This window comes from Homo sapiens, chromosome 9 (assembly GCF_000001405.40).
Source record: "Homo sapiens chromosome 9, GRCh38.p14 Primary Assembly".
In the NCBI taxonomy this organism is placed as follows: domain Eukaryota; kingdom Metazoa; phylum Chordata; class Mammalia; order Primates; family Hominidae; genus Homo; species Homo sapiens.
This window is the reverse complement of record NC_000009.12, coordinates 135,746,623-135,770,808: the sequence shown is the minus strand read 5'-3', so window position 1 is coordinate 135,770,808 and position 24,186 is coordinate 135,746,623. Positions and strand designations below refer to the sequence as shown.

General features: G+C 62.0%; 1 protein-coding gene across 11 annotated transcripts in view, besides 1 other annotated feature; it reads right to left on the bottom strand.

Moving 5' to 3' along the window:
* The window catches only part of KCNT1 (potassium sodium-activated channel subfamily T member 1), a 93,318-nt gene that overhangs the window by 24,694 nt on the left and 44,438 nt on the right, over nucleotides 1-24,186 (bottom strand). For 4 of the 11 annotated variants that reach the window (NM_001272003.2, XM_011518878.4, XM_024447618.2 and 1 more), the window contains 15 exons: nucleotides 20,632-20,711; nucleotides 19,768-19,867; nucleotides 16,816-16,872; nucleotides 15,640-15,688; nucleotides 13,877-13,936; nucleotides 13,579-13,653; nucleotides 13,428-13,511; nucleotides 12,301-12,395; nucleotides 10,950-11,139; nucleotides 5,614-5,778; nucleotides 5,049-5,185; nucleotides 2,136-2,199; nucleotides 1,872-1,980; nucleotides 754-862; nucleotides 362-511 (listed from right to left, as the gene is read on the bottom strand). In NM_001272003.2, the coding sequence (NP_001258932.1) occupies nucleotides 362-511; nucleotides 754-862; nucleotides 1,872-1,980; nucleotides 2,136-2,199; nucleotides 5,049-5,185; nucleotides 5,614-5,778; nucleotides 10,950-11,139; nucleotides 12,301-12,395; nucleotides 13,428-13,511; nucleotides 13,579-13,653; nucleotides 13,877-13,936; nucleotides 15,640-15,688; nucleotides 16,816-16,872; nucleotides 19,768-19,867; nucleotides 20,632-20,711 (1,524 nt within the window). Of the gene's footprint in view, nucleotides 1-361; nucleotides 512-753; nucleotides 863-1,871; nucleotides 1,981-2,135; nucleotides 2,200-5,048; nucleotides 5,186-5,613; nucleotides 5,779-10,949; nucleotides 11,140-12,300; nucleotides 12,396-13,427; nucleotides 13,512-13,578; nucleotides 13,654-13,876; nucleotides 13,937-15,639; nucleotides 15,689-16,815; nucleotides 16,873-18,351; nucleotides 19,738-19,767; nucleotides 19,868-20,631; nucleotides 20,712-20,795; nucleotides 21,061-24,186 lie in introns of those variants that run through there. The other 7 variants (NM_020822.3, XM_011518879.4, XM_011518880.2 and 4 more) reach the window with 4 other exon arrangements.
* Nucleotides 22,685-23,442: an enhancer, noted in NCBI's record as "H3K4me1 hESC enhancer chr9:138639213-138639970 (GRCh37/hg19 assembly coordinates)". NCBI's record gives its function as "activates a minimal SCP1, AML or CMV promoter by ChIP-STARR-seq in naive H9 embryonic stem cells {active_cell/tissue: H9 hESC(naive)}" and the evidence as "EXISTENCE:reporter gene assay evidence [ECO:0000049][PMID:30033119]".

Sequence of the window (24,186 nt, the reverse complement as noted above, 5' to 3'; positions counted from 1 at the left end):
TCCCGCTCCCTGCCTGCCCTTCCTGCAAATCACCAGAGTCCCCACCGGAGCTCCGCGTCTTCCTCCTGGGGGCCATTTGGGGTCAGGGACCTTGGCTGAGCCCTCCCGTCCCAGAGGTGTTGGGGACCAGAGAGCTGGGGTCAGCCCACAAGCCTCAGGGAGGAGCCGCGTGGCAGGTTTTTATGTGGACCCGGAGCCCAGTCCTGCGGCTGCCCTCGCCAGGCAGGATGACCTGATGCCCTCCCCCGAGCCCTCTGCAGCCCCGCCCCAGGGCCACCCCTGTGCCTGACCGGGAGGGTGGGGAGGGCACAGAGCAGAGCAGCCCTGGAGCGCCAGCCCTGTGGATGCAGCCCGGCCTTACTTCTTGTGGGCGTGGAAGGCCGCGTAGGTGAAGCTCTTGCCCTCGTACTCGCGGAAGAACTTGCTGTCACCCATGCGGATGTGGTACACCTCGTTGCCGGAGCAGCGCCCATACATGCGCTGCCACTGCTCCGGAGACTCCTGTCCCTCCCTGTGGGCCAGGGCGGGGCCAGGGGAGCGTCACCCTCGGCCATGGCTGCCCCTTCTCCCCGGCTGGGTCTGCAGGTGCCCCCCTCTGCTTCCCCTGGCATGGATCCCCTCCCTATGCAGGACTTTTGCCCGCCATGTGCCCCTCCTCTGGGAAGCCCATCCCCGCCCCCAAGCAGGCCCTGCGTTGTCTCCCTGCGCCGGCCCCGCCATGGAGGTCGGTCCCCCGGGGCACGGGGCACTCACTGGCCGCGGGACGTGTGCACCAGCAGGGTGATGAGGGTGGAGGTCGCCGGGCAGATGCAGTTCAGCGCCAGCATGGCGTACTTGCACTCCTCCTCACACACCACGTGGTCTGCGGGCAGTGGGGGAGGCCGGTCCACCTGCCGCTCTGCCGGCTCTCTCCTCCCCCACAGTACCTGCTCACTTCCTGAAGGTGCTATGCAGATGCACCCTTGCCTGGCACCCCCGTGTCTGCTGTCCGGCTTCAGCATCTCTGCCCCGAGAGTCTGTGGACCTCAACCCCCTACTTGGTCTGAGCCTCGGTGGACCTTCCATCGCTCCTGTGCTTCTCTCCCAGCTCAGCGAGGAGTTCCAGGGCGGGGCAGGCCCTGGCCCCTGTGCCTTGGGCACTCCATGTGGGCCCTGACCCCTGTCCCCTGGGCACCTGGCATGGGGCCTGCCCCCCGTTCCCCGGGCACCCGGCATGGTCCCTGCCCATAGAGGTGCTCATCAGACGGTGCTCCTGCCCCCACCTGACCTCTGACCCTGCCTTCACTGACCCCAGGATCCCAGCATAAGACTTCATCTGAAGAGTTTGGACCCCCTAGGTCCCTTCTCGGATGCGGTGAGGATGGGGGTCTGCCGTCCCCTCCAGCACCTCCTGGTGTGCTTGTGTGAGGAGCTCCAGGGCCAGCCCCTCCCGCTGCCCCACACAGCTCGCCTAACTGCGTGCACATGCGCCCTGCCCCAGACACACCGTCACCCACGTGTGCACACGCGCCCTGCCCCAGACGCACCATCACCCAACAGCATGCACACGCGCCCTGCCCCAGACACACCGACACACACGTGCACACGTGCCCTGCCCCAGATGCACTGTCACCCACGTGTGCACACGCGCCCTGCCCCAGACGCACCGTCACCCACGTGTGCACATGCGCCCTGCCCCAGACGCACCGACACCCACGTGTGCACACGCATCCTGCCCCAGACGCACCGTCACCCACGTGTGCACACGCGTCCTGCCCCAGACGCACCGTCACACATGTGCACATGCGCCCTGCCCCAGATGCACCATCACCCACGTGTGCACACGTGCCCTGCCCCAGATACACCATCACCCACGTGTGCCCCAGACGCACCAGCAAACTTGACGTGAAACTTGTTTTCAGGTTTGAGGATCTGGACGTAGAGGGGGCAGTTGGGGGCGAAGTCCTTCACGGCCCAGGCGCGCAGGATGGTCTGGTGGTCCTGGCGGGGTGGGTGGTTGGTCAGTGCAGACGGGCTGGCCTCTGTGGGCTGCTGGGCGGCACCGGCAGCCTGGGGCAGGTCTCTTCCCTCAGGGACCCCCGCTCCCCGGCCCCACGGTGCCCCTCCCGCCTGGGCAGGGCCTCAGCCTCACTCACTGCAGCCGTGCGGTCCACCTCGTTCCTGCTGCTGAGGATGAAGCAGGCCTCCCCATTGTCCATCCTGCAATGCACCAGGGCCTGAGCGTGGGTGGAGCAGGGGAGGTGGGCAGTGCAGCCGGGGGTGCGGAGGTGAGGTGGGGAGGACCTCCTCTGGGAGGAGGCTGGTGCAGCAGGTGCACAGAAAGAGACTGAGAGGACGGCTGGATGGAAGGCGGAGAGGATGGAAGGCGGGGAGGATGGAAGGCGGGAGGAGGCCCCTACTCTCTGCTGGTCAGGAGTCACAGTGCCCCCTCAGTGGGCATCCCCATACTGCCCCCCCCCCCCCCAACCCACATCACAGTGTCCCCCACGGGCATCCTTGTGTGCCCTCCACCAGCAGGCATCCCTGTGCCCCCCCCACCGGTATCCCAGTGCCCCCCCCCCCCCCCCCGCAGGCATCCTGGGCCTCTCCAGACTCCCTGGCCCATCCCTGGCAGGCTCTGAGCCGGGTCAGGACTCCTGGACACCCTAGGAGACTCCAAGCTCCGACACTCGAGAAGGCACAGGAGCCACACCTGTCCCCCGAGCGTGTGCAGGCTGACAGAGGGTGGGGGCAGGGTTCAGGAGCCACACCTGTCCCCTGAGCGTGTGCAGGCTGACAGCGGGTGGGGGCAGGGGTCAGGAGCCACACCTGTCCCCCGAGTGTGTGCAGGCTGACAGCGGGTGGGGGCAGGGGGTCAGATGCTATGGATGGTGTGTCCTGGAGACACCAGCTGACAGCTTCTCCTGGCCACGGCCCTGAGTGGGAGCCCATGGTGCTTCCTAGGGCAGTGCCTGCCCTTCCTCCCCCAGGCCCTGTTCTCTGAAGCAACCCCCCAGCTTGTCCCTAAGTTGGCCAGGTAGGAGGGGCATCAGGAGGTCGTGCGAGGGGGCTCTGCTGGCTGGGGCTGCCTGGATTTGTCCATACTCCCAGGCGTCAGGGGCTAGGGGTCCAGGGTTGGCAGGAGCAGGCCCGGTGGAGACCCCACCTAGGTGTGTGCCAGTGACCTGGGCACTGGCTTCCGGGGTACCCATCTTGTATGTTGCCATGAGACATTCACCCAGGGCTGGGTTGGGGTGCAGGAGGGAGGGGGGAATCTGGGGGCAGAGACCCTGTCCGCTCCCTGGCCTGGCTACTCTGTGGTCTGGGAACCTGGGTGGTCACTTCCAGCGCCTCCTGGGTCTCCTGAAAGCCCAGCTGCAGAAACCACCTAGCACTGCTGAGACGCTGTCTAAGAAACTGTCGCCTCTGCCCCAGGGCAGGGAACCCCACCACATCACTGGCACCACTGTCTGCTCCGCAGGGGCCCCAGGCCCTGTACCCACAGCCCTGGGCTCATCCCTGCCTGGCTGGGAATGGCCTACGCCCTTGCCCTCTCCCCACTCCCTGGGCCCAAGCAGGTGCATCGCCTGTGTGTGCTGGGGACGGGACCACAAAAGAGGTGGCGTTCCATAGGCAATGGGTTCCAGCTTGGGGCTCTGGACATGGCAGGGGGAGGGGGAGTGATGAGGAGAGACCCTGGGAGTACCACCAACACTATGCCACTAAGGACACATTCAGGCTCCTGGAATGAAAATGTCACCAGGAGGGTTTTCCAGGGAGTGTCCCAGAAAGTGCACCGACACATTCTGGAAAGTTCCAGGTAATAATATACTCTTGTTACCTTGTCACTCTGTCAATTTGTCTTTAAAAGGAACTCTACCTTCAGCCCGTTCTCCCACCTTGACTCACAGCAGCTGACTCTCCCGCCCCTGTTCTATTTTGAGCCTCCCTAGAACTTGACAAAGATTTCCCTAGACTTGGAGCAGGGGAAGGTGGAGCTCGCAAAAGGCTGCCCCTCACCCTGAAAAGGGAGACAGAGACTTAGCTGGGTTGGGCTTGCCTGGGCTGCTCCACAGTGGGTATGGTGCAGGGACAAGGGCCTGGCTGCAGGGTCCTGCTCATCTGGGCCTGGGACCTGAGCTAGAGAAACTGCAAGAGGCCCCGGACAGTCTACCCCAGACAATCCACCCCAGAGGGTCCACCCCAGACAGTCCACCCTGGATGATCCACCCCAGACGGTCCACCCAAGAGGGTCCACCATGGATGGTCCACCCCAGACGATCCACCCCAGATGGTCCACCCAAGAGGGTCCACCATGGATGGCCCACCCCAGACAACCCCAGAGGGTATACCCCAGACGGTCCGCCCCTGATGATCTACCCCAGAGGACCAACCCCAGATGGTCCACCCTAGATGGTCCACCTTGAATGGTCCACCCCAGATGATCCACCCTGGATGGTCCACCCTAGAGATCCATCCCAGATGGTTCACTCTGAATGGCCCACCCCAGACAGCCCACCCCAGATGGTCCACCCTGGACAGTCTACCCTAGATGGTCCACCCCACATGATCTACACTGGATGGTCCACCCTGAACAGTCCATCCCAGATGACCCACCCTGGATGGTCCCCCCTGGACAGTTCACCCCAGATGACCCACCCTAGACAATCCACCCTGGATGGTCCACACTAAATGGTCCATCCCAGAAGGTCTACCCTGAATGGTCCACCCCAGACAGTCCATCCTAGATGGTCCACCCCAGATGGTCCACCCTGGATGGTCCACCCTTGACAGTTCACTCCAGATGATCCACCCTGTATGGTCCACCTAAATGGTCCATCCCAGAAGGTCCACCCTGAATGGTCCACCCCAGACGATCCACCCTAAATGGTCCACCCCGGACGATCCACCCTGGACAGTCCACCTAGATGGTCCACCCTGGGGATAGTCTATAATGCTCTCATGGCTCTCATTGGCCAGGAGAGCGACGGTCAATGCCTCAGCCCTGAGCAGCCGACCTGACTCAGGAAGGTGCCCCCATGCCACCCCCTCCGCCCACCAGCACTCACTTGGCTCGCATGAGGTCCTGGTCTTTGAGTGCAGAGCCCTGGAGGTAGATGACCCGCTGGGACCACAGAGGGATCTGCAGGACTCTGCGCACCTGGACATCCATCTCCGTGGGGCACAGGATGACCACGTAATAGTCCTGCCGGCCAGGCGGAGGGTCAGACCCTCTGAGCCAGCCCCTGCCCCGCCCGGGCGGCCCTGCCTTCAGGACTGTGTTTGTGCCCACCACCTCTGGGCCCTAGAGCTCACTGTGATCTTGCATCTGGTGGGAGGGAAAAGAGGGGCCCCCGCAGGGCCCCTCCACCTGACTGTGGGCTGCCACCCTCACTGAAGGGGTAAACTGAGGCTGAGAGGACTCAGGGACTTGCCAAGCAGTCCTGGGGAGAGGATGGCAGTCCTGGGGAGAGGATGGCGTCTCTGGGCGCCGGGAGGGAGGCATCTGCCCTCACTGAAGGGGTAAACCAAGGCTGAGAGGACTCAGGGACTTGCCAAGCAGTCCTGGGGAGAGGATGGCGTCTCTAGGGGCCGGGAGGGAGTCGTCTGCTGGGCCACGGTAAGGGGCCTCACCTGGAGCCGGGGGTGGGCGTAGAACTCGTTCAGGAAGTCCATGAGAAGGTCGATCTTGAGGGAGCTGACACACAGGACCACGTGCTTCTCCGTCTGCGCACGGTGGCGGCTGTAGTTGCCCCCTGACTTCTGCCGCTCCATCCAGAGGTAGACGAGCTCCTCGAACTGCAGGTGAGAAACAGGTGAGCACCAGCGACCAGGCCTGGGGAGCGAGGGCTCCCGGTGAAGAACCTGGGCCCTGACACACGACTGTCTGTTAGGGGCCTGGGGCAGGGCCGGCCGGGGGGTGACACCTACATTAGGGGGGCCTTTCCCACATGGAAACTGTAGATGCTGATAGCCTCAGATGACACAGAGCAGGACGCAGGCCCGGCTGGCAGGATGTGTGGGGACCAAGGGAGGAGGGGCGGCTGGAGACTGTGGAGTAAACCGAGGGTGGGGAGGCTCAGCCCGTGGGATTGGGGATCACTCTCTTGATGGTAAGCGTGGCCAAATCAGGCCTCAGACCCCGGTCTTCCAGGCACTCGCAGGCCTCACTGTCAGGAGCCTATGTCTGGGGGGCAGGTGGTTTGAGGCTGCTGGTCTGAGGATGCTGCCTGCCCTGGCTCATGCTCCCCAGATGCAAGCTCTGGGTGTTGAGACTCAAAGGGGACAGATCCAAAACAGAGGCCACCGGGGCCTCCCAGCACCGGCCCCACTGGCCTCTAGGTGAAAGTCTTTGGCTTTTCTTTTTTTTGAGACGGAGGCTCACTCTGTCACCCAGGCTGGAGTGCCGTGGTGCAATCACAGCTCACTGCAGCCTTGACTTCCCGGGCTCAAGCCATCCTCCTGCCTCAACCTCCTGAGTAGCTGGGATTCTAGGTGCATCACCACCATGACCAGCTAGTTTTATTTTTATTTTTTGTAGAGATGGGGTCTCACTACATTGCCCAGGCTGGTCTCGAACTCCTGGGCTCAAGCGATCCTCCTGCCTTGTCGTCCTGAAGTGCTGGGATTACAGGCTGAGTCATGGTGCCCGGCTTGTTGAACACGTGTTAAATGAACAATGGCAGGAGCTCCCATGGACTGTGGGCTGCATGGCTGATGTGCTATCGTCTGGTCTAAATGGGACCATCGCATTGCACTTATCCAGCGCCTGCTTTGTTCCGGTGACGAGGCTCCACTGCCTTGCCACACAAAACAGTTTCCACAGCTGGGAGGTGCTCAAGACTCCAGGGCGACCGGAACAGAGGCTTCCCCGCGGATGGTGCTGGCGGGGGCTCTGCTGTCAGACACCCCAGGGCTCACGTCCCCCACTCTGAGCCTCAGCTTCCTCACCTACAAGATGGCTGCATGGCACGGCAACCCTCCAGGGCCGCCGTGAGGATGAAGGAGCTAATGACGGCAGCTCCGTAGTGACCCTAAAAGTCCTATCTGCCCAGAACCTCGCCATGTGATCTGATTGGAAATAGGTCTCTGCAGATGTAATGATTTAAGATAAGGTCACCCTGGGTTGGAGTGGGCCCTAAATCCAGTGAGAGGTACAGAGAAGAGGCCAAGTGCACACGGGGCAGAGGCTGAGGTTTCTACAGCCACCGTAGAAGCAGCCCCAGGGATTGCGGCCCCACCAGAAGCTGGAGAGAGGCATGGGACAATCTCCCCCAAAGCGGCCTGATAGGGTCAGCCCTGCCAACCCCTCCACTTCCGATTCTGTCCTCCAGGGCTGGCGGAGGATACATATCTGCTGTTTAAGCTGCCTGTCTGTCTTGCTGATCGAAGAGCCTGGAGGATACTTCCAGGAGACCCAGCCGGCGCTGCTGTGTTCCAGAAGGACGCTCGTGAGCGAGGGCCTCGGGGTCATCACTCTGCTTCAAGGGCTTTTACTGGTGCATTCAGCCCAGTGGAGACCAAGGGCAAGGGCACTGCAGCCCACCCTTACCATCGCCAGTGAGAGGCTCAGTCTTTCCAGTCATTCGGAGGAGGCAGGGAGCGGCTTAGACGGTGGGGTCAGCGGCATCACTGTCCCAATCACCCCCAGCCCTGCCAGGGACAGCACAGGCCCACCTGGGTCAGGTTTGAGCACCAGGTCCGGCAGGGCTGATGGGAGGGAGGGTGCGCCAGCCCCCAGGCCCTGCCCCCGCCTTCCTCCCTGCCTCGCTCAGAGCTTGTCCCACTCAGGGCCTGCTCTGCCTGCCCCACACGGGAGAAAGGAGACAAGGCAGTCAGGCAGTGGCTGATCTGAGGGACCCCACTGTGGACACGGAGCTCGAGCTACAGTGACACCTCTGCGTGCAGGCTGCTGGGCTGTCGGTCACTTGTCACCATGGCCATACCCATCGATGCAATCAGTTCTCGTGACGATGGCGCATTTGTTCCGTGAATTTCCCTGAAGAGCAGTGCAGGTGTGATGCCTGCAGGACCTGGTGCACCTGGAGTCACCTTGTCTTGTTTGTTTTAAGATGGTGTTGAGATGGCATCTCGCTCTGTCACCCAGGCTGGAGTGCAGTGGTGTGATCTTGGCTCACTGTAACCTCTGCCTCCTGGGCTTAAGTGATCCTCCCACCTCAGCCTCCCGAGGAGCTGGGACTACAGCTGTGTGCCATCATGCCTGGCTAATTTTTCCTATTTTTTGGTAGAGACGGGGTTTTGCCATGTTTCCCAGGCTGGTCTTGAACGCCGGATCTCAAGTGATCTACCCACCTCGGCCCTCCAAAGTGCTGGGATTACAGGCAGGACCCATTGTGCCTGGCCCTTTTTTCTTTTTCTTTTTGAAACAGGGTCTCACTCTCTGTTGCATAGGCTAGAGTGCGATGGCGAGATCACAGCTCACCACAGCCTCAACCTCAGGGCTCAGGCGATTCTCCTGCCTCAGCCTCCCAAGTAGCTGGGACTACAGGTGCATGCCGCCACACCCAGCTAATTTTCATACTTTTTGGTAGAGATGGGAGTCTCTCTACGTTGCTCAAGCTGATCTCAAATTCCTGGGCTCAAGCGATCCTCCCGCCTTGGCCTTTCAAAGTACTGGGGTTACAGGCATGAGCCCTGCGCCTGGCCTTGTCTTACTTCTTAATGGAGATAAGGGGAGGTGGGGGCTCCCCTGGTGCTTCAGGAGCAGAATGGGAAGGCAGCCCCGGCCCGGAGGCTGTGGACGCAGCAGAGGGACATGGAACAGGCCTGCTGCACATCCCGATTTGGCCCTTACCCGTGGGTGCCACGGTCTCGTGAGAAGCACGGGAGAGAGCGCTTCGCTCCTGCTTTATTTGAAAGCGACCCTGGGGGTGGCTGGGGCTGGGGCTCCTCTTCGCTCTGGGGTGTGTGGGGTGGGGAGAGGAGCCGGACGCAGCCCGAAGGTGGAGCTGCGTGTGGCTGGGCCGTGGGCCCACAGGGGAAAGGGGGACGCATTGGCCCTGTTGACCCTTCCTCTGACCTCGGCTGGGCCAGGGGCCTCTCGGATGTTTCTCTGGAAGGGCTTGTGGGGAATTCAGAGACTGGATGGGTCAACGCCTCTGCAGAGCATCTGGGTGCAGCGGCCTCAGCAGGTGCCGGCCACGTGGTGAAGTGTGGGCCGGGGCGGACCAGGGACGGAGGCTGGGGGCCCGTAGCAAGGTCAAGGATGGCCCTGAAAGCAGGTCCCCCTGCACCTCAGGATGAGTCCTCATTTGCAAAAGGGTCTTTGCAGAAGTAATTAAGGTAAAGAATTTGAGGTGAGATTTACGGATTGGGGCAGGAGGGCCGAGGAGGGAGGCAGTGTCACTGCACGGAGTGCCCCCCACACTGTGCTCCTGGCCTCACTCCCACCCTCACTCCCGCCCTTGCCTGGTTATGAAATGCGCAGAGAAAGGAGCAGAATGCAGGGTGTGGGGGAGCAGGCGTCAGAGGGGAGAACCCAGCTCCACCCCACCCCACATGGTGGTTCCTGGTGGGTGAAACCCTCCAGGTGAGAGGCGAGCTTTACACTTTTAGAAGAAAATAGGAAGCCAGGTTTATGATCGAGGGAGGGAATGATCTTTTCAGTAAAGACAGGAAAACAGAAACCATAAGGGAAAGATTGGTGAATCAAAGCCAAGCCGCCTGTAATCCCAGCTATTTCTGGGGCTGAGGCGGGAGGATCGCTTGAGCCCAGGAGTTCGAGGCCAGCCTGGGCAACAAAATGAGAGTGAGACCCTATCTCTAATTTAAAAAAAAAAAATCAAGACCATCCGTGAATGGAAGATTCTGTAAGCAAAGTGAGAGGGGCGGTCACAGAGCAGGAAGTAACGGGAAAGCCACACACAACTGGCTTCTTCTAGAACACAGAGACTCGCTCATCAGCGAGAACCAGGGGGAAGACCAAAGAGGAGCGGGCAGCTCACAGGAGCGGGACTCGTGGCACTGGACGGTGGAGTGGCCGACAACCAGATGGAAAGACGCGCACGGCCCCATCTGAACTCAGGAGAACAGAAGCCACAGATGTGGAGAACATGGCCCACGCTGGGGGCCGTACAGCTGGTGCCACAGCTTTGGCTTGGATATAGTGAGGAGAAGAGCCAGGCCTGGCCTGGGCCCATACCTGGGCCACGCCCACTGCTGTTTAGCGGGAGGGAGCTGGGGCTGAGCCTGGGGTCAGCAGAGGCTCCCTAGGAGCACTGCCCTGTCTCCCCGGCATCCTGCAGCCACCTGGGGGTCTGTCTCCCAGAAGGCCCTGGCCACCTCCTCAGGCTCTTCCTCCTACCCAGCCTCCTGGAAAATGTTCCACCACCCACAGGGGTCCCCTCCTTCTCCCATCTCCCCAATAGCAGGGTCCCTCCAGGGTGGGCTGGGGTGCCTGGAGGAGGTGTCGGAGGCAGTCCAGGCCCAAGCACTTCACACCCTGAGGCAGCTGCCCTCTCCAGGCCTCCACCTTTCCCACTGAGGTCTTGCCCCGTCCCCTCCTCTGCTCAGTGGGCAGTGGGCCACAGCAGTGGTGACGGGGAAGCCACTGGGGTGGCCGGGGGGGTGTGCCCCCTGTGGGCCTGGCAGCTGCTGCTGCACCTGGCTGTGGATGGGAAATGGGCCGGCTGTCCACCTTGACCCTTCCCTGCACTCTGCCTGGGCCTGGGAGGGGCAGGTCACCCTGGCACTGGAGACCCACCATCTCCCCAGAAGGAAGAGGCCAGCTCACGGGACTCCATCATTACCCACCATGCTGAGCACCACCGGACCCGCCGTAGACCCTCAGTGGGGGCGTGCAACGGAGCAGGCACCACCCGCCTGGCCTCACTGTCCCCTCCTGGGAGTGGCCCCCGCACTGTGCCACAGCCTCAGTGGCACCCTCCCTCTACTGGCACCCGCCTGTCCCTTTGCTGGTGCCACCCAGGGCTGGTGCCCAGAGGACCCACCTGCAGTGGGAGCACCACGAGGGCCACGCAGATCATGATGACCACCAGCAGCTGCGATGGCCAGATCTTGGGCGTGACGTCACCGTAGCCCACGGTGGAGAAGGTGACGATGCAGAAGTAGAAGGAGGTCAGGAGGGACAGGTTCTCGCCCGCCCGCTCCAGGTGCTGGATGCCGCAGGTCCTGCAACCCCTGGCAGTGAGGGGCGGCCTGGGGCCCAGGAGCTGGGGGGCCGTGGCCCCTCAGAGATCCTGCCTGCCCACGGGACCCTCACTGCCCAGGAGACTGAGCTGTGCATCACCAGGCGAGCCCCGCCCTCCTGACAGCTGGGTGGCATCAGGCCCTCAGCCCTGCCCATCTGTCCCCAAGCTCTGCCGGAGCCACCTCCTGCCTGACGCTGGCTGACAATGCAGCTTGGCCACAGCATGGCGGCCTCTGTTCACGGCGAATTCCCCGGAGCCTCCCTGCCTGCCGGGTGGCTCTCTCCTAGGTCCCTGGAACATTCTCTGGGAGCAGGGGATGCAGGGCTGTGTCATCAGCGTGGGCTTGGGTGACACAGGGGTGGGCCTGGGGTCTGGCCCTCTACCCCCATCTCAGAGCCTTGCCCCTTTACCCACCACACTCAGGCCTCTGCCCGGCACAGCCAGACAAGCGCCCAGGCCTGAGGCTGGGAGGTCTAATGGGCAGGGCTGGGGTCGCCGCCAGGTCCCAGATGCTATCCTCATGGATGCCCCAATCTGCCCACTCAGCTCTGTGTCTGTCAGTCTGTCATGAGGGGCAGGGGGGAAGGGAGGCGGGAAACGCAGGGCACTCTCCCTCCCCCAGGGCACAGTGCTTGCCTGACATCCCTGCCTGGGGACGGGAAGTGGTGACCAGGCCTCGCTGGGACCCAAGGCAGAGCAGCAACATGGAGCCCTCCACGAGGACACAGGCAGGTGGGCACAGTGGGCATGCCTGGGTGGGCTGGAGGCCCTCGCAGCTCTGGGCACCCCCACCTTTACCCTGGCTGCCTCCAGACCCTGCTTTCAGCTGGGCCTCAGCCAAGAGACCCCACCTGGCCTAGGGGCCAGTCCCCTTCTCTACGTCCATGGCATAGACCAGGAAGCCAGATCTGGGTATCTCTGTCCTTGGAGGAGTCGGGCTGCAGGGCTGCTCGTGTACTGGGGACGTGGGCTTGGAGCTGCCTCCTGACCTCAGTCCCAGCTTGGTGGCCCGACACCCGCAGCCCAGGCACTGTGGCCTTTTCTGCCCCGATAGCTTGGACATAGGCATCTGTATCCCCTCGCCCGGCCCTGCTTGCCTCTCGGGCCCTCCCAACGTCCTGGGGTGCTCACACTGACGGCCGGCACTCACCCCGTGAAAACGAGGCACAGCAGGGTGCAGAAGAGGATGAGGACCTGGTTGAACATGGCTGACTGTGTCCGCAGGATGGCACGGTGGAAGTCATTCTGTGGAAGGAGTGGTGGCTGTCAGCGGGCAGGGACTGTGGACCCCGCCAGGAGCCAATGAATAGAGACTAGAAGGACAGTGGAAAGCAGACGGCCCGGCCACACCTGCGTCTCGGCTGAGGCCCACGGGGCAGCCTGTACCTGGCCACACCTGTGTCTCGGCTGAGGCCCATGGGGCAGCCTGCACCTGGCCACACCTGCGTCTCGGCTGAGGCCCACGGGGCAGCCTGCACCTGGCCACACCTGTGTCTCGGCTGAGGCCCACGGGGCAGCCCACGGCCACACCTGTGTCTCGGCTGAGGCCCAAGGGGCAGCCCACGCCTGGCCACACCTGCGTCTCCGCTGAGGCCCACGGGCAGCCTGCACCTGGGTAGGGCACCCCCTCTGCTGTCCTCTCTCAGGACGGGTCCCCATCTTGCCTACATCCCCGGGGATGAGGCTTAAGTCTCAGGTCAGAGGGCTGGTTAGTGTGCAAGGCTTGGACCCAGCATGGTAACGCTGATTTACCACTGGGGCAGGAATGGGGGCTGTGAGTCAAGGGGTCTGGCTTGGAGAGGGTGGGCGCCTAGGGAACTGACTGCTGCCATTCACATGACAGGGACCATGTTGAGACACTCAGAGCAGGGCCTGCCTGTGGCCCCGTGGCCCAGGTTTCCTGAGATGCTCAGCACAGGGCCTGCCTGTGGCCCCGTGGCCCCAGTTTGCGTGTGGCCTGGTGTTTGTGGCCCTGGTCCTCGTGGCCTGGGTTTGTCACACCCTTCACTTTGTCCCTCCTCCTCCTGCCAGCCATTTCATTTCCAGGCTTAGGAAAAGCTCTGGGATTGAGTTTCTTCCTGGAAGGAGGGCATTCGGGGCTTGGCTTGGATGTTTTCCAGGAGCAGAGACAGAGTTTCTGCTGCCCTGGCTTCCCGGTCCTCTACAGGTCATGCCAGGGCCGGGGCGTGGCAGGCTACGTCGCACAGTGTCTTCCAGGGCCGGTGAGGCTGAGGGTGGCCCCCCCAAGTCCCAGCTGCACCCCCCGCCCCGGCTTACAATCATGTTTTCCAGCGCGTGCTTGGCCAGCCAGCAGTTCAGAAAGACGGGGATGAACAGGTTCCGCAGCGGCGGCCAGAAGATCTGTGAAGGGGACAGGTCAGGGCTGGGGCTCCAGGGCCCGCACTCCTGGCAGCTGGGGCTCACCCACCGTGATGATGAAGGGCAGAGTGTTGATCATCTCCAGGACGAAGGACACGCGGAAGATCTGCTCCCAGATGTTGCCCTGGGGCCAAACGGGGGGTATCAGCGGGGGCGATGGAGGGTGGGGGTGGGGCCCAGCAGGGGAGGGGCAGGGTGGGGAAGAGGGCGAGGAGCCCACCCTGGAGGTCAGTGGATGAGGCTGGGAAGTGTGGGGAAATAGGAGAGGGTGGGGGAGGTGGGGGAGGCTGGGGAGGGTGGGGAGGGTGGGGACCCCCTGTGAGGTGCCATCCCGGGCAGGCACTCACTTTGTAGCTGAGGTAGATGAGAAGCATCGTCTCCAGGAAGCTTATTATGGCCACGATGACCTGGGAGTCAGGAAAGGGAAGGAGCTCTGGAGCAGGCCGGGGCTGGGGCTGGGGCCTGACCCCACAGGCCTCGCGGGCAGGTACCACACAAAGCCAGGTGTGTGTCTGGGGTCTGCCTTGACCCTCACTCCCATGTCAGGACAGTCTTAGCCACCAAGGCCTTTGGCTGACCCCCGCCAGGGCCGAGGGCAGATGGAGTCTTGAAACCATGGTCCTCCTGGGCCGCCCACTCTAGGCCCAGGGTGGGATGGAGGGTGCAGTGGGTGAGGCAGGACGCTCAGGAAGACACCAGAGAGCGGCTATCCCGCTGCCCTGGTGGGGAGGGAACGGAGATGGAGGCTCAGTGGACCTGGTTTTCCCCCACGGAACCCCTCTCAGCACAGGCATCTACTGACCCCTCTGGAACATGATAGGGGTGGGTGTGAAAGACCCTCTCTGGTCTCAGATGGAGACATGGGACCCAGTCATGAACTAGGTCACCCACCCAGGAGCCAGCCAGGGACCTGGCCTGTGCACTCTCCACCCCAGGAAAACAGCAAGGACACAGATGGGTCAGTGGAGGGAGAGATTCAGGTGGTGAAGCAGACAGAGGGGGTCAGGAAGTCCTCAGGGATCCCTGGGAAAATTGTGTGGAGAGCAGTAGAGCCTGGGTCGGTCCTCAGCACTCACTGAACCTGGGACCCCTGCTTACTGAGCCTGAGTTTGTCTTCAGCATTCACTGAGCCTGGGTTCCCTACTTACTGAGCCTGTCTGTCTTCAGCATTCACTAAAGTCTGGTTTCCCTGCTTACTGAGCCTGGGTCTGTCCTCAGTGCTCACTGAGCCTGGGTCCCCTGTTTACTGATCCTGGGTTTGTCCTCAGCATTTACTGACCCTGGGTCAGTAAATGCTGGGTTTGTCCTCAGTGCCCACTGAGCCTGAGTCACCTGTTTTACTGAGCCTGGCTTTGTCCTTGGCATTCACTGAGCCTGGGTCCCATGCTTACTGAGCCTGGGACTGTCCTCAGTGCTCACTGAGCCTGGGTTTGTCCTCAGCATTTACTGAGCCTGGATTTGTCCTCAGCATTTACTGAGCCTGAGTCAGTAAATGCTGGGTCTGTCCTAAGTGCTCACTGACCCTGAGTCACCTGTTTACTGAGTCTTGGTTTGTCCTCAGCATTCACTGGGCCTGGTTTCCCTATTTACTGAGCCTGGGTTTGTCCTCAGCATTTACTGAGCCTGGTTTCCCTGCTTACTGAGCCTGGGTCTGTCCTCAGTGCTCACTGAGCCTGGGTCCCCTGCCTACTGAGCCTGAGTTTGTCCCCAGTGCTCACCGAGCCTGGGTCCCCTACTTACTAAGCCTGGGTCTGTACTCAGTGCTCACTGAGCCTGGGTCCCTGTTTACTGATCCTGGGTTTGTCCTCAGCATTTACTGAGCCTGGGTCAGTAAATGCTGGGTTTGTCCTCAGTGCTCACTGAGTTGGAGTCACCTGTTTACTGAGCCTGGGTTTGTCCTCAGCATTTGCTGAGCCTGGGTCCCCTGCTTACTGAGCCTGGGTCTGTCCTCAGTGCTCACTGAGCCTGGGTTTGTTCTTAGCATTTACTGAGACTGGGTATGTCCTCAGTGCTCACCGAGCCTGGGTTCCCTACTTACTGAGTCTGGGTTGGTCCTCAGTGCTTACTGAGCACCACTGCAGTCGGGAGGGGGGCAGGGTAGGGCACTCACCTGGATCGCCCACAGTGTCATCTTTCTCTCCACCCACAGAATAGGAGCCCTGGGAAGAGAAAGGAGGCAGCACAGTAGGGCACCACAGCCACTAGTGTCCCCCAGCCACCCTGGGGCTGGGGCCATAACCATTGGCCTCCACTGGCCCCAAGCATGTGCTGCTCATTGGGGCTGGACCAAAGGAGCCTACCTTGCCTTTGGAGGGGACCATAAGGAGGAGGGAAGGGAAGGTTCCCCAAGAGAGGAGGATGGAGCAGGACTGCAGCAGGCAGGCCCCCCAGGAGGTGCTTGTGAGGCCAGGGCCCATGGCTGAGTCTCCATGGAGCCTTGGCCTGCAGCCCATGACACTACCAAGGGTGGCAAAGCTTCTCCTCTCTGGACACGACAGGCAACAGCAGCCTGGGCCCCAGACTGGGTAGCCTGTTTTTTTCACCTGGGTCCCTGAAGCCGGGCTCCCATGAATGTCCCTAAGAGCAGGGAGGTCGGGCTATCTAACCCACAGCCCCCTGGGTTTCCCCGAGTCTCAGTTCCTCATCCATAAACAGGCAGGGGCATGGCTGCAGGGGGCCATCTGCTCCTTGCCTGATGCGGACAGGGGCTCAGGCACTGGGGACATGCCTTGCAGGTTCTGGGGACAGGTCTTAATCTCTGGACCAGGCACCCCAGTTGCCCCGCAGTCACCTCCCACTGCCTGCCCGGGGCAGGTGCCTTCCTTTGCCGTAAGATGGTGAACTGGAAGAGAAGCCGCCACCTCACTGGGAGACGGGCTTCCTTGCATCTCTCACTGGGCTCAGGAAGAGCGTGTGGAGGCTGTGGAACTGGCTGGGAACTCACAATTCTCAAACTGCTCCTCTTGAAGGGGACATTCCCAGCATTGACCACAGCCAGGGCTAAGGGCACATGTGTCCTGGGGAACCTGGGTGGCTGCTGGGTTGAGGCTGGGCATTATCCCTCAGGGACCAGGCAGTGTGAGCCTCTGTCCATCCCACCCCACCCTGGTCCCAGGCCTCTGAGCGCCTGGCTACTGGGAGCTGGAGTGGAGACTCATCCCACCCCACCCTGGTCCCAGGCCTCTGAGCGCCTGGCTATTGGGAGCTGGAGTGGAGACTCATCCCACCCCACCCTGGTCCCAGGCCTCTGAGCGCCTGGCTATTGGGAGCTGGAGTGTGGACTCACCAGTTGATCTCGGAGGACGAGTCATTGAAGGAGTAGTTCTGCTTTGGGCAGCCCCAGCTGTGGAGAGACACAGCGCTGGCCCGGCCCTGGCCCCTCTAGCACCACTGCAAGGACTTGCTGCCCGAGGGCTTCCACAGGCTCGGGTTCATGGGGGCCTCCTACTCACCCACCCGGGGCTAACCCCCACATCAGAGCTCTAACACCTGGGAGACAAGGCAGCCTGCCCCCTCCCCACCTACTGCGGAGATCCTGCAGGAGGGCCTCTAACTGAGGAATGCTGGGCTGGCCACTGCTCAGCCCAGCAGGCAGACAGCGAGGGTACATCCCACATCTGCGGGATTGGGGGTAGCCCCAACCCAACAGCAACACACTGGTTCTGCCTGTGCTGACAACAGGCTCCCAGGGAGGGGCCTTACATGGCCAGAGAGAGCATGTGGGAACACTCAGGGCCTCCCCAAGGCCAGAGCTGCCTTGAACAAGGCTGGACAGTGTTCAAGAGACAGGGAGAGGAAGCTCCTATCCCCAGGTGCTGACTCCAAGAGGCACGTCCCTAAGCTGCTTCTGAGGACAAGCGGCCCCCAAGCCACCTGGAACCAGCTGCTGCGACAGTGACCAGGGCATGGCCAACAAGCTAGTTTTGTCCCAGACCATCATCGATGCCAGGGTCACTGACCAAGGAGACCTCACTGCTCACAAGGCCCCTGGTGATGGCCAGCTCCTCTTGTCTTTTCTTTCAACTGATCCACTTTCCCCTGATTTTTAATGGGGTTGTTGCAAACTAAGTGCCCACAGAAGTATCTGGACATCCATCTATCATCCATCCACCCATCCATCTTTCCACTCACTCATCCATCCATCCACTTCTCCATCATCCATCTCTCCATCCATCCACTCATTCCTCCATCCATCCACTCATCCATCCATCCCTCTATCCATCCACTCATCCATCTATCTACTCATCTGTCCATCCATCCATCCCTCCATCCATCCATCCACTCATCCCTCCAACCATCTGCTCATCATCCATCCACTCATCCATCTATCCATCTACTTATCTGTCCATCCATCCATCCATCATCCATCCACTCATCCCTCCATCCTTCTGCTCATCTCTCCATCCATCCACTCATCCCTCCACCCATTCACTCATCCCTCCATCCAACATCCATCCCTCCACCCATCCACGCATCATCCATCCATCCATCCATCCATCATCCACCCATCCACTCATCCCTCCATCCATCTATTCCATCCATCCATCCATCTACCCACCATGCATCCACCTATCCATCCATTATCCACCCATCCACTCATCCCTCCATCCACTCCATCCATCCGTCCATCCGTCCGTCCGTCCATCCATCCATCATCCACCATCCATCCAACCATCCATCCATCATCCACCCATCTTCCCACCCCCATCCATGTCCTGGACGCTGTGCTAGGGGACGGGCAGTGAACACAACAGACTTGGGCCCTGTGGGGATGTGAAACCAGAAGCCCCAGGGGACCCTGGGACTTGGGGTGGGGAGTGACCTAGGAAAGTAGCTTGAGAGTCAGTCAGGGCCCAGTTCTCCTTCTCAAACTCTCCTAGTGGGTTCTGCCCTCTTCTGACCTAGACAAAGACAGGAGGTTCATTCTTAGGAGAGGGAAAGTCTCTGGCCTGGGGATGCCAGGCCCCCTTGTGACGGGGTAACAGGTGAAAAGGGGGATTGAGCAAAAGTTTACATGGACGCCTTTAGGTCCCCAGAAGCCAGGCTCCCGGCAGTCAGGCCTTCTCTCCAGGGAAGAACCTGCTCTGCGCAGCCAGAGGGGGGACCAGCATGCTGGCAGGGTTCACCCCGATGGCTGGATGGTGACAACCACACCACACACGTGGCTGCAGAGCCCCTCAGCGCCTGAGCACTCTTACGCATAAACGGCACCAGACATTTGAGGAAATCTACGGGTATGAAAAAGTCAGGGCCCAATGTGAGCTCGGGAGAAACAGGCCCAGCAGATGGGGAAAGCGTAAAACAGGAAAGGACTGGAGACACCATCTTCGGAAGGACATTCAGAGAAAGGATTTCTGGAAACCAGGAGGCAGGACAGAACAAGTGGACGAGTGAACAAGGGAACGAGGCAGGAGAGGGGAGAGAAGAAACAGGACACAGAGCACAGCATCCGAGTGCCAGGGAGCCAGAGAGAGAGGCCTGGGGTTGGGGGCTGGTCCCCAAAGACATGACTCAGGACAGGCCGGCACCGAGGGCCGCAGGGCCCTGCTGATGTCCCCTGGGACCCACACAGAGGTGAGCAGGAGTTGCCAAGGCACGCTGGGCACAGAGTAGGTCCCAGCAGCCGCCACTTCTCGAAGCAGCAACAGCAGAAGGAGACAGAACAGGACTCAGAGAGAGCAAGTTCCCACCCACCCTCATCGCGGCTGCTGCGAGGCTGGTAAGGACCTGACGGTGCAGATTGCTGCCCCCAGCACCTCTCCCAGAAGTCCCTGGAGCATGGGCCCCAGGACGATGGGCCCTGGGGAGGGGACTCCTTGGGACCCAGGAGGGGTAGAAGACACCCCCAGAAACAGGTAGGGGCTTTCCCCAGGGGGACTGGGCGCCCCCTTCCCTGACCTGCAGAAGCTCAAGTGAGCACAGAGACACTTGTGGGGGCAGGGAGGGACATCCTAGATGCTCCAGCCTTTCCGTGGACCTTCTGGGTCCGCTAGTAGCTAAGGGCACAGCTGGAAGTCTACGATGGGGACCCTTCTCCCTACGCTGAGCCGTCTGCGGGAGCCTGGGCACTGAGTCCTTGGCTTTTTCCATCCTGGGACAGGCACTGGGGAAGGAAGGACTCCCCAAGGCCCCAGGCACAGGGGCTCCCCCAGGGACGCCATCAGCTTCTGTAACGGCCCAGTGGGAAGGCTCAGCCCTGGGACCCGGGACCCCGCGCCCGGCCGCGCACGTGGCCCACCATCCGATGCCCAGGGCCGGGTCATCGAGCAGGACGCGCACAATGTAGAGCAGGCAGGTGAGCAGCTTCAGGGAGAAGTTGAACAGCCGGATCCTCAGGCCTGCGGGGAGGGCAGCGGCCTCAGGGCTCTGACCCAGCTCTGGGCTTCGGGGAGCAGGGCCTGCACCCGGGTCTGGCTGGGCTCTCTGGATGGCCCCAGCTGGGCTCCCCTCCCACACCCGGGCTGCACGCAGAGCTCTGTGTGCCCTGCGTTGTTTGGGGGCTGATGCTCTTGGGTCAGCCTCCAAGAGGCTCTGTCCCTGGCCCCACCTTACAGGTGCCTGAACTTGGGGTGCAGGGGATTTCTAGAGGCCACTCCACTTCTTGGAGGACAGGATAGGGATTGGGGAGCAGGCAGGTGAATGTGGAGCCCCTGGGGAAACCCCCCAAGTCCTCACCTGCAATCCCGGGGGGAGCATGATGCCAAGCTCTGGCTGGGAACGGGGCAGGGAGCTGTTGGGGAGGGTGGGGCTGTATGGAGGGGTGGGAGGCAGGGCGTGGCCACAGGGGAGACCTTGCTGGCACCTATGGATGGTCCTGCCCCACCCAGCCTGGTGTCCAGCAGGCAGGACGGTGTCCCCACGAGTCCCGCTGCAGAGGCCCTGGTCTCAGACAGTGTGAAGCTAAGAGGGGGCTACCCTGTGCCCCACTCACCATGCAGACCCACCCCCACCCTGCTTCCAAATGCCCCCGCAGCACTCAGGTGGCTCCCACCCCATGGACTCTCCCTGAGCTCACAGCCCCAGCCTTCGCCATCGCCAGGCTTGCTCCCGGCGCCCTCAACACCTCCCTGCCTGGGAGTGGCCCTCCAGGCACCCCACTCACTCGATCTTTGGTTTTTGATGAAGAACAGCTTGAGCCGCTCCTTGAAGGTGTTCTCGTTGACGTAGAACTCCACCTGGACCCTGAAGAAGCAGAGAGGGGCATGGAGGCTCAGGGCCAGTGGGGACTCAGGCTGGGGACACGCCGGGAGCCCCAACCTGACTGACTTCTTCCAACTTTCCAACTGCAGGAGTTGAGAAGTCAGGGCCCAGCAGGACCACTCCCTCCACCTCAGACCCAGGAGGGTCCTGGGGTCCGTCACACCCAGCAGACAGCCGACCCAGCCTCGGCTCCTCTGAAGATTCCTCCCCGCAGCCCTGGGCACTCGCTGCTGTGAGTCTGGGCCCTCCAGGCCGCCCTGTTGGGGCTCAGGGTGCGGCACTCACTCCACACACCCTCGCCCAAGCCTCCGTGGGTGCAGGGCACCTGCCAGGAGGTAAAGTTGCCCATATGGCCCTGGGGATGGTGCTCAGGACACCGCAAGTGCTCAGAACATGCCGTAGGACCTGCGTCATACAGGCTGTCCACAGCTGATGGTCAGCTGCTCTGTCTGGAGGCCGCTGGTGGCTGTGCTCCAAGGCTATGGGCCACTGCAGCCTCAAGGGCTGTCAGGGAAGATGGGCTGGTGGGAAGTGGTCATCCCTGCACCCACCTCGCAGGCCAGCTGTGGGGCCCCTCCAGCCAGTGCCGCTCCCCTTCCCTCAGGCTCACCTATGGCCCCAGCCACTGGTTCCCAGACACCCCTCAACCCCCATGCACGCCGCTGCTCATGGGGCCTACCACCCAGCCCTCTGGCCTCCAACCGGGCCCCGGCGGTCCTGAGAAGAGACCACAGTGTGCCAGTTGCCGGGGGTGGCAGGTGGGGTGAGGTGGGGTGGGGAGATTGCGTGGCTCACCTACCGTGGCCACCTGCATGACCCAGGCTGGCCACCAAGAGTAGGATGGAGCCTGGGGGTGGACGGCTGCTGCCCCCACTGCCCCAGCCTTGGACGCAGGGTCTCCTGTGCCCGGCTGTGCTGGGATGCGGGCCAGGCTAGGCCAGGGTTTAATGATCCCCTGAGAGGAAAACTCCAATGCTGCCAGCCTGCAGGACAGACAGGAGCAAGACCCAGAGCCAGGGTTCCTGCAGCAGGCATGGCCGTCTCTGGGAAGGGGGAGCACATGTCCCCCTAAACGGCCCGTGCCCTGGGGTGCTGGGCTGTCCTCCATGGGACCCTCGGCTGCTCCCAGCCATGGCCCTGTGCCCTCCATGACGTCTGCTCCTATCAGTCGGCTGCCTTAGCCCTCGGGCGCTGCCTCCGGTGCCTGGCCTTGCTCCCTGGGGTCAAAGAGAGGTGCCCCGCCTCCCTCAGGGATGGTGTGGGGGCAGAACACGCAGTCCAGTGAGCTCCTCAGCATGGGCCCCCTGCCCAGTGCAGCGCGAGGGCCACAACACAGTAGGGCAGACAGACAGCGGAGCCTGGAGGAAGACTTGTGCTGCCTGGAAGGATCCTGGACGGCTGCGTGGAGGAGGCAGTGTTCAAGCAGAGGTCCCAGGGCAGCTGTCCAGAAGTCGGGGGAGGTAAGCACCAGCCTAACCCCTGTTCCTGCCTCAACCCCTTCCTTGTCACTGTCCACCAGGGCAGGAGGCTGTGACACCCAGTGGGTGGGCTGTGAGCCTCACCTCCCCTCTGAGCAGGCACTGGCTCCTATCAATCGAATCTGAGAATTTGATGTCACTGCCTGGCCTGGGGCTGGTGACCCCAACATCTCCGAAAGTGATTAAAACATTCGATGTTTCCCAAAGCTCACAACACTCAGGGTAAGTGGTGTGGACCAGGTGTGTGCAGCAGCCTTCGTGGTGGGGCTGCTGTGGGGCGGGCGGGAGGGGCCTTGGTAGAGTCCCAGCACCTGCCTTGATCTGCCCCAGTGGCCTCTGCTGGTTACAGAGCTCAAGAAGGGGCCAGGGGCCGGTCACAGTGGCTCGTGCCCATAATCCCAGGAACTTGGGAGGCAGAGGTGGGAGGATCGCTTGAGGCCGGGAGTTTGAGACCAGCCTAGACAACATAGCAAGACCCCCGTCTCAATAAAAAGTAGCCAGGCATGGCGGCACGTGCCTGTAGTCCCAGCTTCTGGGGAGGCTGAGGCAGGAGAATCGTTTGAACTTAGGAGTTTGAGGCTGAAGTGAGCCGTCAACACGCCACTGCACCCTAGCCTAGGTGACAGAGCGAGGCCCTGTCTCAAAAATGAATAATAAATAAATAAATGAAATGAAGAAGGGTCCAGGGTCCAGGAAGAGGCGTGTGGCTCTGGGTGCCCTTGCCCCATGCTGAAGAGGAGGCTCAGGCCAAGTCCTGGGGGCAGGCTTGTCACCCCACCGGGCATACTCAGGGCTCCTGGGGCCAGGCAGTGGGACAAGCCTCCCACAGACCAGTGGCGTCTGAACCAGTGCTAATGGGGGGTCAGTCTGCCCCCAGAGTGCCCCATCATGCCCTGCAACCCCTCAGCGTAGCCAGCTCTGCTGTGTCCCTCAGCCCCTCCTCCTGCCCCACGCCTCTCCTCTGTGTGCCTGGAGCCCTGGCTGGGGAGGCCCCTCCCTGCATAAGTGTCTCTTTGGGGGGTCTGTCCGCCGTCTTTCTCTCTGAATGGATGTCTTTCGCTCAGACAGGATGCTGGAGGTCCAGGCTGCGCTGGGCCTGGTCTGGCCATGTCAGGGGGGCAGGCAGGGCTGAGGCGGGAGCTGCCCCCGGGGGCTGAGCCCAGGGTCTCCCAAGGCCCTCCTCCCCTCACTGCCGGCGGTACCCAGGGACCACCGGGCCCTAAAAGCATGGAGCTTAGGAACCCACCCTCCCCGCCTCCCTACCACTGTCCCGCCCTCCATGGCAAAAGCCTCAACGCGGGGGGTCTGCTCACCTCACTTGCTCCTACTGCCTCCCACCCTCTCCTCTCCGGCAGGGAGCCTCACCATGCCCTTCACGGTGACCAGACCCCAGAATCTCCTCTACTCCCTGGGCCTCTCAGCACGGCCTCCCCGAGCTCTGTTGTTCTCCCCTCCGCTCCGTTCTCCTTGGGGGACCCCAGGGCTTGCCACAGGTGCCTCTCTCCCACCCAGCCCGGGAATTAAGTGCCACGCAGGGGTGACTTCCCAACTGGCTCTGCTGGCAGCCGTCCAGCCCCACTCTACCCTCTGGCATCCACCGGCTCCCCCTCCCCGAGGCAGAATTCTCCATTCCTGATGGCACCAGGCCAACCATCCCCCACCAACCTCAGGCTCCTGTACCCTCCCCTCCCCTAGACCAGAGCCATCAGCAGGTCCTGCAGCTCTGCCCTCAGGATGTTTCTTCCCTCTGACCTCCCTCTGGGCCTTGGGCTCCTGCCTGGCCACTCCTCCTAGGCGGGGGTGCCCAGCTCCGCCCTGACCATCGCCCCACACTCCACTCCAAGGCAACACCCAGCCAGCTCCATCTCCCCAGCCAGCTCCGGCCACGCCCCCAACCCTCCATCGGTCATAGGCCTCCAAGGAGCTCCTGCTCCTCCCTTTACCTCCCCGTGGACCTGGTGCAGCTGGACCTCTGGGCC